This window comes from Homo sapiens, chromosome 11 (assembly GCF_000001405.40).
Source record: "Homo sapiens chromosome 11, GRCh38.p14 Primary Assembly".
NCBI classification, from domain to species: Eukaryota; Metazoa; Chordata; class Mammalia; order Primates; family Hominidae; genus Homo; species Homo sapiens.
In genome coordinates, this window is record NC_000011.10 from 79,280,893 (window position 1) to 79,299,865 (window position 18,973).

The 18,973-nt window shown below is 42.4% G+C and overlaps 1 protein-coding gene across 5 annotated transcripts in view; it reads right to left on the bottom strand.

Annotated features, from left to right (window-relative positions):
- Nucleotides 1-18,973, bottom strand: part of TENM4 (teneurin transmembrane protein 4) — a 788,202-nt gene that overhangs the window by 628,064 nt on the left and 141,165 nt on the right. For all 5 annotated transcript variants that reach the window (XM_047426739.1, XM_047426737.1, XM_047426736.1 and 2 more), the window contains exon 2: nt 16,596-16,651. The gene's annotated coding sequence lies outside the window, so the exon portion shown is untranslated. The remainder of the gene's footprint in view (nt 1-16,595; nt 16,652-18,973) is intronic.

Here is an 18,973-nt window from a genome sequence, read left to right on the forward strand (position 1 = left end):
CACTCGGCAAAATAAACACATAAAATGAGGTGGTTTAACATCTTTTTTCTTCATTGATTTATTTAGATTTCTAAAAGGTCACAGTCAATTTGTTTTTCCACTGGACAGAAACCTGGAATGAGTAAAGGGTTGAGAGCTGCAAATGAATTCAACTACAAAAACACTGGGCTGTCTTTAGGCGTCAAATGATGGCGTTACGCTCTGCATATAGAGATGAAGGAGATGCACCTCAGCCTTCCGGGAGCTTCCTTGTTCACATTCAGACTCAAAGGCAACTCCTTAGCACCTTTGATATGCCCAGGAACAGCACAGTGATTATTATACTTACTCCTCTCAGCAATCCCCATAGGGAGGTATTATGATCATTTTTATTTCACAGAGGAGGAGATGGAGACTCAGAAAGTTCACTGATTTGTCTACGGTCAAGCAGCCATTGGGAGAGTTGGGCTTTGAACCCAGGTCTGTGTAGCTCCCAACATTGATAGTCTTATTTTCATAAGAGATGGGTCCATCTTTAGTCCAGTGGAGATTGTTGAAAGTTTTTGGAGAATGCTTTTTTAGTTTTAATTTATCACGACAACCCTAGGAAGTAGGCATCAAGGTCCTTATTTTATCACTGAGAAAGTGAAATTCAGAGTTATCTGCCCCAGCTTGGAAATCATAGTCAAGATCAGAATTAAAAACTTTTAGTTTGACCTCTTGGTGATGTGGGATGGCTCTCTGTAGGGCCATGGAGGGAAAATAAGGCTCCTAGCGGGGGTATGCTTGATGACAAGTCCCCAGGAGGCCTGCATCCCATCTAAGGACAATTCTGCAAGGGCTACAATGGCCTTTGTCACCAAATCTCATATCAATTCTGCCTCTCTGGCATAACTGGGTTCTAGAAAAAGGTCCCAAACCATTAAAACCTTTAATGTCCCAGGATAAAGTTCAGACTCCTTCACAAAGCAGGTCCTTTAAGGTCCGCCTTCTGGGGTCTCTCCAATTCAGCGCTGTACCTTTGAGCCCTTGTGAATGTCTCTGAATGTGCAGTTAGACTCTTCTCACTGAACTGCTGGTTCTGCTTGGGCCTGGAAGGCCCTGTCCCACAGGCCCACTAGGCAGATTCCTATGCATCTTTCATGATTCCATGTGGATCACATTTCCTCTGACATTCCTCTGAACATGTAAAGATGCTGAATATCATTCATCATTAGGGAAATCCAAATCAAAGCCACAATGAGATACCACTTCAAACCCGCAAGGAAACAAAAAAGACATTAAAAAGTACTGAAAAGGATGTAAAATGATCTCTCCTTTCTCTACATTTCTGTGGCCCCCTTTATGCCTACATTATAGTCTTGATCATGTTTGGTAGCAATTGTTTGTATAGAGTCCAATATCCCTCATCAGATTGGGTGGCCCTTAGGAGCAGAGACCCAGATGGATTTCTTTCTGTGTGACCCGATACTCCAGGGCCTGGCACAGGAAAGGAGCTTCATAAATCGTTGCTGAATGAATTAATGAAGTGACTGCTGAATAAATGAATGGCCACAATTCAAAACTCTCTTTTAGACATGTTCAGGGACTCACATCATTATCTTTACTGCAGAGAAACTGCTGGCTTCCAGGGTGCAATCTCATACTCTTGCTTCTCTGTTCTAACCAATTTCAGCCAGTAACATTCTTTCCTCATTTTTACGTGTTAAAAAACAACAAAAACAAACACTTGATTCTTTTGTTAACCTGAATGGCAAGCTATTAATACTTGTGGATATTTTGATTTTCTAGGAGGACAGGATGGATTCCAGGGGAGATAATGGTGTAAGCATTGGTCTTGTTCAGCATGTGGTCCAGAGGCCAATCTCTTATCTGTTATGAAGGAGAAAGTTTTGCTTCAATGGAGTATTTATTCAGGCATTTGTGTGGAAATATTTAAAATTGGAAAAAAAAAAACTGCAGGAAAAAGGCAGGAATTATAGCATTCTGTCCCAGGCTGGGTCCCCAGTATTAAGCACCTTGCCTGGCATAATGGCCAGAGACTCACTGCCCTGCCCGTAAGGAAATTTTCAGGCTTCACTGCAGTGTTGTTTCTGGCATTTGTAGGATGTTGTTGTTGTTGTTTTTCTGACACAAGCACATGATAAGGCATGACTATTAGCTGTAGTAAGCCTTGTTCTTATCACCACCTTTTAAAGTTTTCCAAAATACAGTCAAGATTAACACAAATTCTTTATAAAACTCTTACAAGAAATACAAAAGGAGGGAATCCTTCCAACTCATTCTATGAGACCAGCATTATTCTGATAGTAAAATCAGACAAAGACATCACACACACACAAACACACACACACACACACACACACACACACACACACAAGTACAGATGAATATCTCCCAAAAATAGAAAAATACAAATTTTTATAAAAATATAAAAATCTTCAATAAGATAACATTAAATTGAATCCAACAACACGTAAAAAGAACTATACACCATGACCAAGTGGGATTTATTAAGGAATTCAAGGTCGGTTTAACATACAAAAACCAATCAATGTAATAGACCACATTAAGACCATAAAAGACAAAAACCACACGATTATGTCATTAGACATGGAAAAAGCACTTCACAAAATCTAACATCCTTTTGTGACAAAAAAACCCAACAAACTATAAATAGAAGAAATACTTAACTTGATAGAGGTCATCTACAAAAAACTCACATCTAACATTCTACTTAATGGTGAAAGACTAAAAGCTTTCCCCCTAAGATTAGAAACAAGGCAAGGTGACTGCTCTCATCACTTCTTTGAATACTGTACTGGAGGTTCTAACCAGGAAAATTAGTTAACAAAAAGAAATAAAGACATTCAGATTGGAGAAACGAAGAAATAAAACTATCTCTACTCATCAATAACAAGGTCTTATATATAGAAAATCCTAAGGAATCCACAAAAGAGCTATTAGAATAAACAAGTTCAGCAAGTTTGAAGGATACCAGATCAATGTACAATCAGTTGTATTTCTATACACTAGCAATGAACAATCCAAAAATGCAATCAAGAAAATAATTCCATTTATAATAGCATCAAAAAGGATAAAGTATTTAAGAATAAATTTAAAAAAAGAAGTGAAAGACTTGTATACTAAATATTATAAAACAGATTAAAAAGAAATTAAAGCCGCCTTGAATAAATGGGAAGATATCTCATGTTTGTGGATTGGGAGATTTAATATTGTTTGGATAAAAATATTCCCCAAATTTATTTATAGATTTAATGTATTCCCTACCAAAATCTCAGCTGGATTCTCTTTTGTAGAAATTTACTAGTGTATCCTGAACTTTATATGGAAATGCAAGGAACACAGAATATTCACATAATCCTTAAAAAGAAGAACAACGTTGGAGGAACCCCACATCTCAATGTCAAAATTTACTACGAAGCTACAGTATTCAAGATAATGTGGTACTGGCATATGAGTAGATATATAGATCAATGGAATCAAATTTAGAGTCTTGAAATAAACCCTCACATTTATAGTCATTTGATTTTTGACAAGAGTACCAAGACAATTCAATAAGAAAGTCTTGTCAGGAAATGATGCCAAGATAACTGAATATCCACATGCGAAAGAATGAAGTTTGCTCCAGACCTCACACAAAATACAAGGATTAACTCAAAGTGGATCATAGATCCATGTGTAAATCTAAAAATATAAAACTCTTAAGAGAAAACAGGAATAAATTCTCATTACTTTAGATTAAGCTATGGTTTCTTAGATGTGACACCAAAAGCACAAGTGACAAAAGAAAAAATGTAGATACATTGGACTCTTTCAAAATGAAAAAGTTTTGTTCTTCAAAGAACATTATCAAGAGAGTAAAAAGATAACTCACAGAATGGGAAAAAAATTGCAAATCATATATCAGACAATTGTATCCAGAATATATAAAGAACTCTTATAACTCAACAATAAACAACATAAAACCCAAATTAAAAAATAGGCAAAGGACTTGAATAAATATTTCTCCAAAGAAGACAAGAAAAAATTGCCATAAGAACATGTAAAGATGGTGAATATTGGCCAGGCACGGTGGCTCACGCCTGTAATCCCAGCATACTTTGGGAGGCAGAGGTGGGCAGATCACGAGGTCAAGAGATCAAGACCATCCTGGCCAACATGGTGAAACCCCGTCTCTACTAAAAATACAAAAATTAGCTGGGCATGGTGGTGGGCATCTGTAGTCCCAGCTACTTGGGAGGATGAGGCAGGAGAATTGCTTTAACCTGGGAGGCAGAGGTTGCAGTGAGCCAAGATCTTGTCACTGCACTCTAGCCTGGCAACAGAGAAAGACTCAGTTTCAAAAAAATAAATAAATAAAAAAAAAGAGAGATGCTGAGTATCATTCATCATTAGGGAAATCCAAATCAAAGCCACAATAACATACCACTTCAAACCCACAAGGAAATAAAAAAGACATAAAAAGTATTGAAAAGGATGTAAAAAAATTGGAAATGTCATACATTGCTGGTGGTATTGTGAAATGGCGTAGCTATATTTGAAAATAGGTTGGCAGTTGCTAAAAATGTTAATCATAGTGTTGCCATATGACCTAGCAATATCACTGCTAGATATATACCCCAAAGAACTGAAATTTATGTCCACATAAAAACTTGTCCATGAATGTTCATAGCATCATTATTCATAATAGTTAAAAATGGAAATAACCCTAATGCCCATCAACTGATAAATGGATAAACAAAATGTGGTATGTGTGTGTGTGTGTGTGGGTGGGTATGGGTGTTGGTGTATCAAGAATAAAGTATTGATTCATGCCTAACATGGATAAACCTTGAAGACATTATGCTAAGTGAAAAAAACCAAAAAAAAAACAGACACAAAGGCAACATCTTGTATGATTCCATTTATATAAAATGTTCAGAACAGGCAAGTCCATAAAGAGGGAGAAAGTAGATTAGTGGAGTGGTTGGCAAGGGCTAGGGGGAGCAGGGTATGGGGAATGACTGCTAATGAGCAAAGGGTTTCTTTTTTGGGGTGATGAAATGTTCTAAAGTTAGATTGTGGTGATGGTTGCACAACTCTGTGAATAGACTAAAAAAATACTGAAATGTTACTTTAAAAGGGTAAATTTTATAGCACGTGAATTATATCTCAATAATGCTGCTACAGAAAACGTATGCAAGAAAGAGGCTATAGGGAATGTGGAAAAAATGGAAACAGCTGATTTGCTAGAAGTGGTGCAATGAAAGGTGATTGTATTTCTGTTTTCTTTTATTATTGTTTCCATGTTGTTTGCACAATAATAATGTGAAAAAAAGAGAAAGGGAGCGAGAGAAAATGAAGTAGAGAATATGAGCACTCGCTCTGGAGTCCAGGAGTCTAAGGCCATCATCCCTTGCTCTACTAGTTACTATGTATTCTGGGTAAGTGGCTTCACGTTTGACCTCAATTTTTGTTTTCTATAAGTAGAAATAGGATGGGCACGGTGGCTCATACCTGTAATTCTAGCACTTTGGGAGGTGGAGGTGGGGGGGATCACCTGAGGTCAGAAGTTTGAGACCAGCCTGGCCAACATGGTGAAACCCCGTCTCTACTAAAAAATCCAAAAAAAAAAAAAAAAAAAATTAGCTGGGTGTGGTGGTGGACACCTGTAATCCCAGCTGCTTGGGAGGCTGAGGCAGGAGAATTGATTGAACCCAGGAGGCAGAGGTTGCAGTGAGCCAGAATCGTGCCACGGCACTCCAGCCTGGGCAACAAGAGCGAAACTCCGTCTCAAAAAAAAAATTTTTTTTTAAATAGAAGTGGAAATAACACAAACCTTTAGGACTGGCGTGAGGATTACATAAGCAGATATGAAGCAGGTACTCATCATTCTAATTTTCTTTCATCTTCATTTATTTCCTCAAACAATTATGGAGCATCTATTACATAATTGGGAAATAGATGAATTAAGATTGGACCTCATTCTTAAACATCTTAGAATTTAGAGAGGAAAACAAACACATAAATAAATTTTAAAAGTTCATCAGGAAACTTGATAGCCACAAATAGCATGTTGGATAAGCTGTCTGCATAGACCACATACATTCAGGAACTTGTGTTGGGAGCTATTGGTGAAGGGGCCAGACCAAGAAATAAAAACTCGTAGGAGATAGAATTTTACATTTGCATATGTTTGTTGCGAAGTGTGCTTTCATGTGTATTATCACATGCAATTCTCAGAGAATGCTACTAAGGAAAGTAGTATTGCCCTACTTTATAAACGAGAAGACTAAGTCTTGGAGGGATCATGAGAGTGTTCTCGTTTTATAAAACCAGCACATGGGGCAGGATGACTTTCACTCTGCCCTGGTGGCCTCTTCTGAACATTCTTGGTTACATGCCATTAGAAAGGAAGATGGAATAGGTGAAGTACCAGAAAATGAAGAGGAATCTTCTCCACATCATGGCTGGTAGAAAGTATTGGGTACGGAACCTAGTCTCCTCAGGGTCCAGTGAGAAAGCGTGCCAGATGATGACCCCCAGACCCATCCAGCCCTGGGTCATCCAACAAAGATTTAATGTAGTCCTTGAGAAAATATCCATGTTCTGTAGATCATGAATGTCTAGTAAACACTTCTCCAGAGACCTCACTAAGTAATGAGTTGGGGGTGAGGAAGGGAAACATCCATCATTTATAGAGCACCTATATTATACTCCTGGTTCCCCAACAAGTAGGGTGCTTGATGCATTATAATGGCCATTTTCAACACTGACACTGAGGTAACACTGAGGACCAGAAAGGTCAAGTGACTGTCTAAGATCACATAGCAAATCTGTAGCAAAAAAGAGAGTGAGGACTCAAATCAGCCCATCTTTTCACTCATCATGAGGATTCTAGATTCTTCCCTAGGCAAAAAAGTAATTGTCTCAAGGGCAGAGGGTATTATCAACAAACTGTCAGAGCTCAGAAGTCACACTGCATCAGGAAGCTGTGGGGCCCATGTCTGCTATTTAAGCAACACCAAAAACACATCAGCCCACACCTTAAGGGTGAAGGAGTGGGATGCTTAGCTGAATATCTGGTACAGAATAGGGGCCTCAGTGGGAACCCCAACAGCCTAATTGATCTTTGGTTTCAATGGAACTGGCCCTCAGCTAAAAGCAAAAGACCTCTCTACCAAATACCTCTTCCTTGAAGGAGAAGGATGGTAGATATAGGCACAGGCATTCAGCACAGAAACCCAGGTTGGTCCCCTTGTGAAACTGCTAGGCTTTTGGCACCTGGCCAGCTGGACTGGCCACAGTTCTCATTTATCAAAAGCCATAACCAGCCCTTTACTTGGCTTCAGTGTCTCCCCAACCCTTAGACCCTGACTGTGAGTTTGTGATCCCAAAGTCTCCTTACCACTGGAATATCTTCAGAAGTAAATGAAACAGTAAGCTAGTAGACTTAAAAGCCAGGCTGTGCCTAGCACTCTATACTCTGTTCAGTGAAAGCAGAAATGTCCCCAGCTCACCCACTGGGGTGAAGTAACTCTTATCACTCTGCAGTTATTCACAATGACCTGTGGGATTGAAAATCAAACTATGTAGGCTTCTCCGCTGATTCCACAGGGAACTCTGGCAAAGCTCAGTAAAGAGAATCTGGATTCATGAAGAGATCATCCCAACAAATATTTCAAAGGTACGGAAGAAAGAGCACAGGCTTTGGGAGACAACAGACCTACGATAAATCCCAGCTTATCTTCAGATCCATGATAACACCCGGCTCCGTCTCTTGCAAGACGTTACATCTTCTGAAAGCATCTTGAGAGAGCTAAGTGTCAGCTTCTTTCCTGGCTAATGTGAATGTAATTTGCTGTTTGTATGGAGGCTAGAGAGGCTAAGCAGGTGGACAGATTTAGTGGATGATTGGAAATATAAAACTAGGGGGAAGGAGGGATGTCTAAGGTGGGCTGCTGGTTGAAATAAGAATGGGTGAGATGACAAGATAGTGTGTGGTAAATTAAAAAAGAGAAAAAAAAAATGAACCATAGGGAAAACTGCATTTACTAGGGTAAGGGGAAAATAAGTCAGAGCTTGGATGAAGTGTGGTGAGAGGCCATCATAAGGAAAAATAAGAGAAAATCTTGTCTCCCAGGAGACGTACAGGGAATTGTCTAAGGTTTGCCAACTGTTTGATCTTGAAAGAGCAATCATAACACTCAAGACTTATTATGACACCATCAATAAATGTTTCCTACACGTGTAGAGGGCAAAGGTAGCAAATAGGATCCTTTTTCATGAGCAAATTCCAGATGATTGATAATGTTTATCCAAAGTATTGTGTTTGAAAAAATTCTGAGCCCTCATCTGAATGCAGTGGTAAAGAGTTGTTTCAACAGTGGTGTTTGCAGGGGAGTGGGAGAAAAGAATGGCAGCCCACAGGCCAAATGTAGTTAATGCTGTGATGTGCCACCCTGACTACCTTCTTTGGGACTGAGACACTCATTCCTCCAGCTGCAGGGACTGTTGCTGTTGGCTGCTGACAGGTATCAGTTGAGTCTCCAGGAATGGCCTTCAGCCCAAGAGAGCTGTCACCTGTGGGCAGTCCACAGCTGTCACTGCAGTGGGCAACAAGGCCAACTCCCTTTGGCTCAATGTGAGACATCTGAAGACCATCCCAGCTCCAGAGTTCCCTGTGGAATCAGCTGACATTTTTGCTGTGATTGCTTTGCAGCTCAACTCCTCCCTTTCTTCCCTTACTCCCTTACAGGTGCTGATCCTAAGAGCATGCTCCAATAAACTTTCTGCATGCAAATCTCTGTCCTAGAGTCTGGTTCTGGCGAATTCAACCTACTACATCAAGTATTTGCCATTCCTGCACAAACTATACCTCTCTCTGCTTAGCTAATAGCTTGTCATCTATGTTTACTTACTCCTCAACAAAGGAAGACTCAACGTTAACCAAGGGGAATAATTTGTAATCCATTAGCTTTCTCTTTTTCCCTTGGTGGCAAGGTAATTCAAAGATAAGTTATCAATTCTTTCTTCTCTTTTGCCTAGGTTAGAGGTAAGTTTCTACCTTTTTTCTTTCTTTTTCTTTTTCTTTTTTTTTAAGTAGAGATGGGGTTTTGCCATGTTAGCCAGGCGGGTCTTGAACTCCTGACCTCAGGTGATCCGCCCACCTCAGCCTCCCAAAGGGTTGGGATTACAGGCATGAGCCACTGCTCCCAGCAGTTTCTACTTTAGTTAGGCTTGGAGGCTCTCTAATCTATAAATGATGGGTTGGCTCTATTCCTCTCATTCTCAGTCAGTTCTCCTCCCAGCCTCCAACTCTAGAAGAGATAGCATTTATCCGTGACTCACTTTTTAAAATCATTTTAGATCAAAGGTGTCAGTAGGAGGATGAAGAATATGTGCTAATAACTCTCATTGGCATAATGCTTTCAATTTATATGTATGTAATATTTTATAAACATAGCAACTCTTTAAGGTTATTGTTATTTCTTTTGAGCAAAAGGAAGAGAAAGGCTAAATGATTTCCCAAGTCACCTAGAAGACTTATTGCAGAACCTAGACTAGAATCTGGGTTTTTTGGCATCCGATCAATCCAGTCACAGGCAGAAAGTGTCTACCTCTGCTGCTTTCTTAGAAATCAGTGTGTGATTTCTAGAAAACAATGGAAGTGGCTTGGGAACTCCCCTCACCATCGCTCCCTTTGTACCACTGCAGTATCCAGGGATCTCGGTGGTGATCAGATCCTGGAACAAGCACTGATGAGCATCCTGTAATCCAGAAGATGATCTAACCATCCAGTGCTAGAATCCCTGATACCACCACAACAAATGACTGTCTTCTTCCTCTTTGGACCATTTTATTGATGGGAAACTCATTATTGAGAAAGTGGCTTATTCTGTGTTCCCTCATCTGTGCAACTGGAATGACACCAAACAGGGAAAGATGTGACATTTAAATGGGAGAATGAATGCAAAGTACATAGTAGGTACTCATAAGGAATCCTCCCAGAAAAGCTGGCACATCCTGCTCATTTAGAGCTGTTTGTTTGTAAAGGCACAGCTGAGTGAATCTGGGAGCCAGGTCCACAGGCAGGCAATGAAGCATGCTATCTGCCTCCTGAAGAGACATGCCAGGGGCTGGGATGGAAAAGACAAACTCCAGCTTTCAGATCTGCCACTGCAAGAAAACCAGGGTTTTTGCTGTGGTGGCTCTGGGTGGAGTGGTGATGGTGGTGGGGGCAGATGGGCAGTAAACAAATAGCCAAACCCCACATAGCCATGTGGATTGGTGACATCCAGGTGACTCTGTGACCCTAGGATGCACGGGGAAGCACAGAAAACCCTTCTCAAAGACAAAAAACTGCTTTAGTTCTGTGTAGCAGTGGCTTGAAGGTTGATCACTGGTATGATGTGCCTAAGTTAGGATGCAGCTGGCATGGAACAGCACGGTTTTCCTCTGTCCAAAGAAGGTTTGCAAACAAGAGTAAAATTCAAAACATTTAATAATTGCTGTGGTACAGGCACACTGCCAATGAGAATGGAGATCAGCTACAACCAAACAGCATGGTCATGGGGGGGTGTGCCAGCCAAACATCCACCCTAGCAACAAGGAAGCCCACCCTGCAAACAGGGAGAAGAGGATCTGCAGGGTGGGGGCCTAGAAGTCAGCAGAAAATCTGCCTATCTCCTATGGAAATCCCAGAGAGGATTTCATTAACCTCTCAGGGCTCTGCAGAGCATGATTTAAAAGCCATTGCTGGGCCGAGGGGGTGGAAGTGGGGAAGTAAGTGCCTTCAGTGTCCAGCTTCCAGGCGCAGTATTATTACTCCAGTGTACAGGGCCAGCCTCCAAAAGGGCAAAGCCCTGGTTCCACCCAAAGACAAGTCCATGAAGGCTCTGACAGGTCATCATGCTGTTAATCAGCATACTTCTCCCTCTGCCAATGAGTATTCATATGTAGTCTCCCCAAGCACTTGTTCCTGTTCTAGCTTTTATAGATGAGGGCACTAGCACCCCTCACTGCAGTCCCAGGACTTAGAACACAGCCTTGATTCATGCAAATTGAGCCCTGGTGCTGGCAGGAGTCAGGGATCAGAATCCTAGTCCTGCCCAGGTCGTCCAGAGCCACTCCAAGCCCCTCTCTTTCCCAGCTCATATGTGTCTCCCAGCTGCTGATCTTTCACTAAGAGCACATGTTGCTGCTACCTTCTGGATGAAGTCACAAGGGGTCAATTATCTTGCAGCAATGAAACCGGCATACTGTTTCTTCAGCTTGCATAAGATGAAGCTCCACATGATGAAACAAGTCAACGGTCCATGAGGTCTTGGGGAAGGCACTAGAAGCAAAAGCCCTCCCTTGAGAGCAATGCACCAAGACCTCCCCTTTCTCCTGCCCTCGACCACCAATGAGCATGCTGTAGTGGACTTGCCAAACTCAAGAAATACTCACAGTAAATGCCACTGAAACATTTCCCCACTGTTTTCCATGGAGCTCAAACGACTGTACCTCTTGAGGCTGATTTTGCCCCTACTTGTGTCTTACAAATTGGGTTTGTTCCCCAGGAAGTCACCCTTTTCTTGCTAATTCTATCAGTGGCTTTTCATGCTGTCTTTCATACATAACTACAGCTTCCTAGCCTTCACCAGCTTTGTCTCTTCTAAATGGAAACCTCTCATAGCCCTGCATTAGAAGGCAATGGATTTGAATGGTAGCTTCCCAGTAATTCTCTGAAGGGGCCATGGGCATCGGCTGTGGCTAGGGCACATGCAGGAACACCTGCAGGAGGCCAGTATATCTGGGTGAGACATTAAGCACCAAGCTTTCATGTCAGTCAAGCTGGGTCCCATTCCCAGCTCAGCCACTTACCAGCTATGCAACCTGGGAAAGTTATTCAAAACTCTTTAAGGTCTTTTCTTTAGTGTAAAATGGCTTTAATAATAGTATCTATCTTATAGGGTTGCTTTGAGAATTAAAATAATATATATAAGGCACTTAGCACTATGCTTAGCAAATAGCCATGTAGCCATTTTCAATATTGTTAGTCATTCACTTATCAATCAGTTGCTATAAACCCTGTACCCTGTTAAAGGCTGAGACTCCCAGTTTCTGCCCTCAGAAACCTCACAGTCCAATGGGAAAGGACCACAGGAGAACCAGCAGTTAGGATGCAGGATGGTAAGTACTTTATTAATAATCACTTTTTAAAACACTATCACTAATGGGTGACAACCATTTTTTGCTAGCCACTGTGTGCTACATGCTTTATGTAAGTCAAGTACATAATCTTTCTAGTCTAAATATGTGAGTTCAAATCCCAGCATTACCACTGAATAATTATGAAATCTTTGGCATATTTATTAACTCTTTGACACTTGGTTATTCATCTTGTAAATAGGTACAGAAGTCAGAAAAAGTAGGATGGGCACGGTGGGTCACACTTGGCAACATAGTGAAACCCCATCTCTACTAAAAATAAAACAATTAGCCAGGCATGGTGGTATATGCCTGTGGTCCTAGCTACTTGGGAGGCTGAGGCAGGAAGATCACTTGAGCCCAGACGTTTGAGGCTGCAGTGAGCTGTGATCACATTATTGTGCTCCAGCCTGGGTGACAGAGCAAAACACTGTCCCTTAAAAAAAAAAAAGAAAAAAAAAAAGAAAAAAAAGTGTTAGGGAAAAATTGTATGTAAGATGTCACCAGAGTGTCTTGTATATGGTAGGTGCTTCATAAATGTCTGTTGGCTAGAGTTGAAGTGCAGCGACTAAGGGGTGTTTGGAAAATGCATGCGAGATGGCTATTGTTCCTCACCCCTAGAGAGTCTGTCTGGGTGGCTTTGAAGGCCCAGGCAACATGTCCACCTAGGCTGTGAGGCAGGACTCTGATGCTCAATGGCTTACCCGGTTTGGACCCCGTTCTGAGCCAATGACTGCAGCCACAGGGACCAGAGGCTAGCACACCAATGGGGTTTCTGGCAAGAACCAGGCAGAATGTTCTAAATAGGGCAGGCCCTCTAGGACCAAGGTAGATAATGGGCATGGACCTGTAGGCAGAAAGAGGTTCTGAGCTCTCCCAGGCATCCCCAGTTTTGCATACCTTGACCTCACATCATTGCCAGGATGGCTTATGCTGTCTCCAGGTCAGGCCTTCAGGGGCTCACAGTAGGCAAGTCACATCATATTTCTCTTTGTCCCAGAGAGAGCAATCCTAGTCCTGTCTTTAATGCATGGCTAATGAAATAATCAAATACAAAAGAACCTTGCAAAATATAAAGTACTACAAAAATAAGGCATTATCATTACTGACATCATTACTACTACTACTGCTGCTACAATTACAGCTACTAATGACCACTATGATTTGTCAGTCTCTATGTGTCACTTATACTTTATGGATAATCACAAATCATCCCTAAAGCCTATTTAGGTAAATGATGAAGAAATTGAGGCTGAAAGAAACAAGGCTACTACCAGCCCCGTTATTGACTTTACCTGAATTTGAAAAAGATGTCTCTTCTTCTGGGCAGATGTAGCCCCTCTGGGACACATGGCTTGGCAGGTGGAATGCAGGCTGGTTTTTAGCCTCCACTAGCCCTTGAATAAGCAGGCTTGTGCAGGACACACCCTCAACATCAGTTTTCTGCAATCTCACAGAGAATGTGAGTAGGCTCGTTCAGTAAGAAGCTAAGTTGGGGGCCAGGCGCGGTGGCTTGTGCCTGTAATCCCAGCACTTTGGGAGGATGAGGTGGGCAAATCATCTGAGATCAGGAGTTTGAGACAAGCCTGGCCAACATGGTGAAACCCTGTCTCTACTAAAAATACAAAAATTAGCTGGGGGTGGTGGCGGTTGCATGTAATCCCAGCTGCTTGGGAGGCTGAGGCAGGAGAATCGTTTGAACCTGGGAGGTAGAGGTTGCAGTGAGCCAAGAACCCATCACTGCACTCCAGCCTGGGTGACAAGAGTGAAACTCTGTCTCAAAAAAAAAAGAAGCTAAGTCAAGAGTTACATGCAGGTGTGTTCCATTATACAAAGCATGGGTACTCCAAATGGGCATTTGCTGCCTGGAGCCAGCATCTTCTATGTAGACCACAAACACTGGCTGGCCCTCTGCACACTCATCCCTGTGCTGCTACTGTGGGATGCACAAGGATGACGCAGACAGGAGCCCATACCCCAGGGAGTGCATTGCCTCTGAGAAGCAGCAGAGGTACTCCTGCTCAGAACACACCAGCCCCAGAACTGAGACGGTGCCCAGAGAGGAACAAAAACGCACAAACCCAGTCCTGTTTAGGCGAATGAACATTCTTGTAGCAGGGCTTGATAAGCCTGTTGCTAAGCCTACCTTTCTTCCTGTCACTGAGCACCTGGCTCTTGGCTCAGGAAAGATAATCACTCTGGGAACCAGCTCTCCTCAGGAGACCTGGCAGAATGCTGGCAGTCCAGAGCAAAACCTGCCTTTCAACAGAGCTTCGCCTCCTCCCATGTCAGACAAGGGGAAACTCAACCTGTAAAGGAAAGGGTTTGCACACACACAATTCTGCTGAGAGCCTGCAGTAGTAAGTGACCCCCGCCCCGGGAAAGGAAGGAGCCCCAGCTCTCCCAGCTCAAAGTGCTTCCTAAACAAAGACCCTAAGTGTCCTGCCGCAACAACTCAAGACATGGGACACTCAGGTTCCAGGAGCACCTGCAGCTATCATCTGTCAGTCCTGACACCAGCACTGTCTGTGCTGAGGTTGAAGCAAAGAGATCAGACAAGCACTGGGGTGGGAGTGGGGGCTGCAGAGGGCAGGTGAAGGGGAAAAGGCTTTGGAGAGACCAATATGAATAGCAGGCATTTTTGTCTGACCCCAAAGAAGAGGGCAAGGGAGAGCTGTGATCTGAGCCAAGATGAAAGAGTGATTGGCCTCCCCTAGTAATCAAAGAGTTTAATGAGGCTTATTAAAAGCCCATTTCTAGGTCTTGTTGAAAAATTACACCCGTAAGTGTTTTTTTTTTTTAATAAGAATTGCCTCCCAGGGATTAAACACACACACACACACACACACACACACACACACACTCCCCCAAAATCCCATACCCCACACATTCACAGTCACATTCCCACAAAAGCTGCGTATCATGTACATTACAGCATTCTAGGTGCATCTACATCAACCATGGTCATAATTCGCAACATACACATATATTGTAAGACAGAAAAGCCAGATCACTGAGGTCATTCGTGCACCTTTTGAAATTCCAGACATTGAGGGAACCCTAGAGCTTCATCCTCAAGAAGTTGTGATCCATATAAACAAAGAGCATAGCCTCTAATCCACAGCATTCTCTGTGTCTTGCCTGAGGCAAGACAACTCAGCAAAAGCAGAAGCTACCATGCTTGGAGTCCAGGATCATTAAGCTTTGGTAAAAAAGCAGCAGTTTTACAGCAAGGTCACTGCACAAGAAGGGGGCCGGGGGGCTGTGTCACTCCTTCCACCCATGGTGAATTCTCTCTGATATGCTAAATCCCAGCCACTTGGTAGAGCCAGCCCTGGGCCTGGAGCAGGTTTCCCTTGGTTCTCAGCTTACTGCGAGCTCACAGCTGCCTTCACTCTCAGGCGGAGAAAACATTGCTTTCTGGAAGAATCAGCTAGATGCAGAAAAGAATCCCTTGCAGAAAATTATCCCACCACCAGAGTGCTGCTAATCTCCCCAACATGATACTCACTGCCAAGTGGTAGAATGCAACAATGACCATTCAGATGCTACAACTACCAGGTGGAACAGTCTGCTGTTATTAGAAACAAATGTTTTAGATTTAGTAAATCTGGGTTTCAAGCCTAGCTCTAACCCTTACTCAAGGTATGGCTTTGGCCCACTCTTTCAGCCATCGTTTTCTCCTTTGCAAAATGGCAGGAACAACTTCCTTCTACGTTATAGAGTTGTGGGAAAGATCACAAAGTACCCTTCAAACTGTATACCCCAAAGCAGATGCTAGAAAGTCTCATAATGAGACAATAATGGGAAAATGGAGGAACTCACTGATTGGGTTGTGAACTCCTCAAAGGCCTATGTGGTATTTATCTTGTTCTCAGTGCCCAGCGCCGAGACTGGGACTAAATACCCTGGGAAAAACAGTGTGAAAGAAAGAAAGCAGAAAGAGTGAATCTGTGAGTTAAGTGGCTTGCCTAAGGTCACAGAGCAGGTCATTGCAGGACTTGAGCCCAGAACGCTTGACCACACTAGTCCAGAGCTCTCTGTTCTTGACGTACCAAACAGTTGGGTCTATTGAAGGGAGAGTGAGTGTCACAACAACTGCAGCATGGACCAGTTTTCAATAAGCCCCACTATTCCCAGAGAAAGACCCAATGTTGGCCATGTATGGCCTAAAAGGACTTCACAGACTCACCTGTTAAACATGTCAACTCCACACTGGGAGCAAACAGAAGCCACAAGTGCAAGTAATACTCAAATGCCTCAAACTGGCTCATCTTATTTACTGACTCGTGCAATACTGACTTGAATTGCACAAAACAGAAAAGTCACAAGCCTGGGACAATGGGCCTGGCAGGGGTTAGGTTGTGCAGACTAGAAGCATATCTTGTTTTGGGTTCACTTTCAGCATCATTACTTACCTACCGACCAAGTGTCTGAGAGATCACTAGCCCTCTCTGATTCTCAGTTTTTCCATCTGCAAAACAAGAAGACAAACACAATTAATGCCTTGAGATCGCTGGACTAAAACGCATCATCGGTTTTATGCCTGGAATTGGTTACCAACTACTTATGATTCCAGGTAACTGGGAAAACTGTGAGTGGTCAGGGGCTGCAAAATAACTAAAAAATGAAGTGCAATAATAAATTACGCATGATAATTAATAGTTATGTGTCAAGCAGGACGCTCGCTGATGGTGCCCAACTCTCAGCACAGAAAATTCAGCCTTCCAATCATTTGGGCACTTTTTATTTTTCATAGATGTCAAAATATAAAAGACCATTAAAAATACCAGGAGAAATAAAGCAAAGAAAAGGGCCACAATCTCAACACATTCATGTCCAACAATTTGGGCTTTTTTTTTTCTTTTTTTTTTCCTTCTATACATAGAGTTTACCATTTTTCAGAGCAGAGGCTATCAAGATATCCCATATTAAAAAGCACCACGCCAGTCATGATTTTCCTCTCTTGCCACCTGTGTTAGGCCGTGACAGTTGACCATTGCCCTTATTAACTCATTTTCCTTCCCATCCTTTTCATCAGTTTCTCCAAGGCCTTTCCAGGTGTGTGGTCAGGTCTCTGACAGGCACTGTCCATACCTGAGCCCAGAAGAGTGAGAAGTGAGCAACTTTTGGAGCCCTCAGACTGGTCTTTCCCTAGTCTAGGTTCAGTTACCTCATATGAAAAACAGGAATCCCAGCACTTTGGGAGGCCGAGGCGGGTGGATCATGAGGTCAGGAGATCGAGACCATCCTGGCTAACAAGGTGAAACCCCGTCTCTACTAAAAATACAAAAAATTAGCCGGGCGCGGTGGCGGGCGCCTGTAGTCCCAGCTACTCGGGAGGCTGAGGCAGGAGAATGGCGTGAACCCGGGAAGCGGAGCTTGCAGTGAGCCGAGATTGCGCCACTGCAGTCCGCAGTCCGGCCTGGGTGACAGAGCAAGACTCCGTCTCAAAAAAAAAAAAAAAAAAAAAAAAAAAGAAAAACAGGGAAACTGGACCGGCTGGTCACAGATACCCTTTTTAACTTGAAAAAGCAAGGCTAAGGAAAAGAGAAGGAAACTCCTATATTTGAGTCCCTACTATGTGACAGCTATTGAGCTAATAATATCTACAGATATGATTTCATGATCCTTATAACCACCCTGGGAGAGTTTACAGGGAAGAAAACTGCAGCTCAGCAAGGCTCGGCGAGCCGTCTAAGGCCTGATGCTGTAATTTTGGTACCCCATTCATATTTTTGCCATATCCATGTGTCACCTCTACTATCATTTACTAATTTTTCCAAATCAATTCATATTTTTTCTTAACTATATTTTTAAATAATTTTCAAAAAATGTTTCTGCAGCTCTCTATTTCTGCCCTTTCTCTCCTATGAAAAGCAACCTTGCAACTAAGATAGGTTCTGTAACAACGTTGCTAACAGCGTAAAGGAATTTGTCATTAAAACCATTCGGACAATATCTAGGAAGTCATAGGTGTGAGGTGCTGTATCCACACACACACACACACACACACATACACACACACATACATACACACACACAATTTATTAAAATAAATTAGTTTTGGAGTTGAAAGCGCTCATCCATGTACTATGCCAACTCCCAGTGGTGCCCCTGCTACACTTTGGGGAGCTGGTCTGAAGTCCTTCAATGCACTGTGACTTCAGAACTGAAGTCTTTCATCTTTCAAAGCTGAAATCGTAAAAATGCCTAACACTTAGTCTATGTCAAGAAAGTCACTAGGGTCACACAGCTAGTAACTGAAGGAGCCGGGACCAGGCCTCTGCTTGCCTGCTTCTAACCCACCCCAGTGCCCCAGGAGCGCACTCAGTTTCTGTCCCCATCCTCAGACCCCAGATATGCAATTCTGTGCCATCTGGCCACCAATTAAGTTGTTTTCAAATCCAGGCAGGGTCATCCTCTTTTGTTACATTGTCCTCAGCTTTTCCGTAAAGTGACTAGATTATATCGATACTTATTTACATTCCCAAAAGAGCGCTTTGGTATAAAACTGCATAATTTCTAAAACCACATTTTGAAAATATGAACTGAACGTGATTCTTTCTTCAACGATCCAAAATAGTAACCGAGGAAATAGAAAAGGCTGATAACCTAATACCCAGGAATGCCATTGCCACCGCAAATGAGTATAAAATCCCAACCCGGTCAGGGGAAGTGGAAGAAAGTGGCAAAGTGACTATACTGGACACTAATCGAAGCTGTTGTCTAGTGTCTTTCTAAAGCTCTAAGCTTCCATTTCCTGTCATCTGGTTTTAAATTAATTGGCATGAAT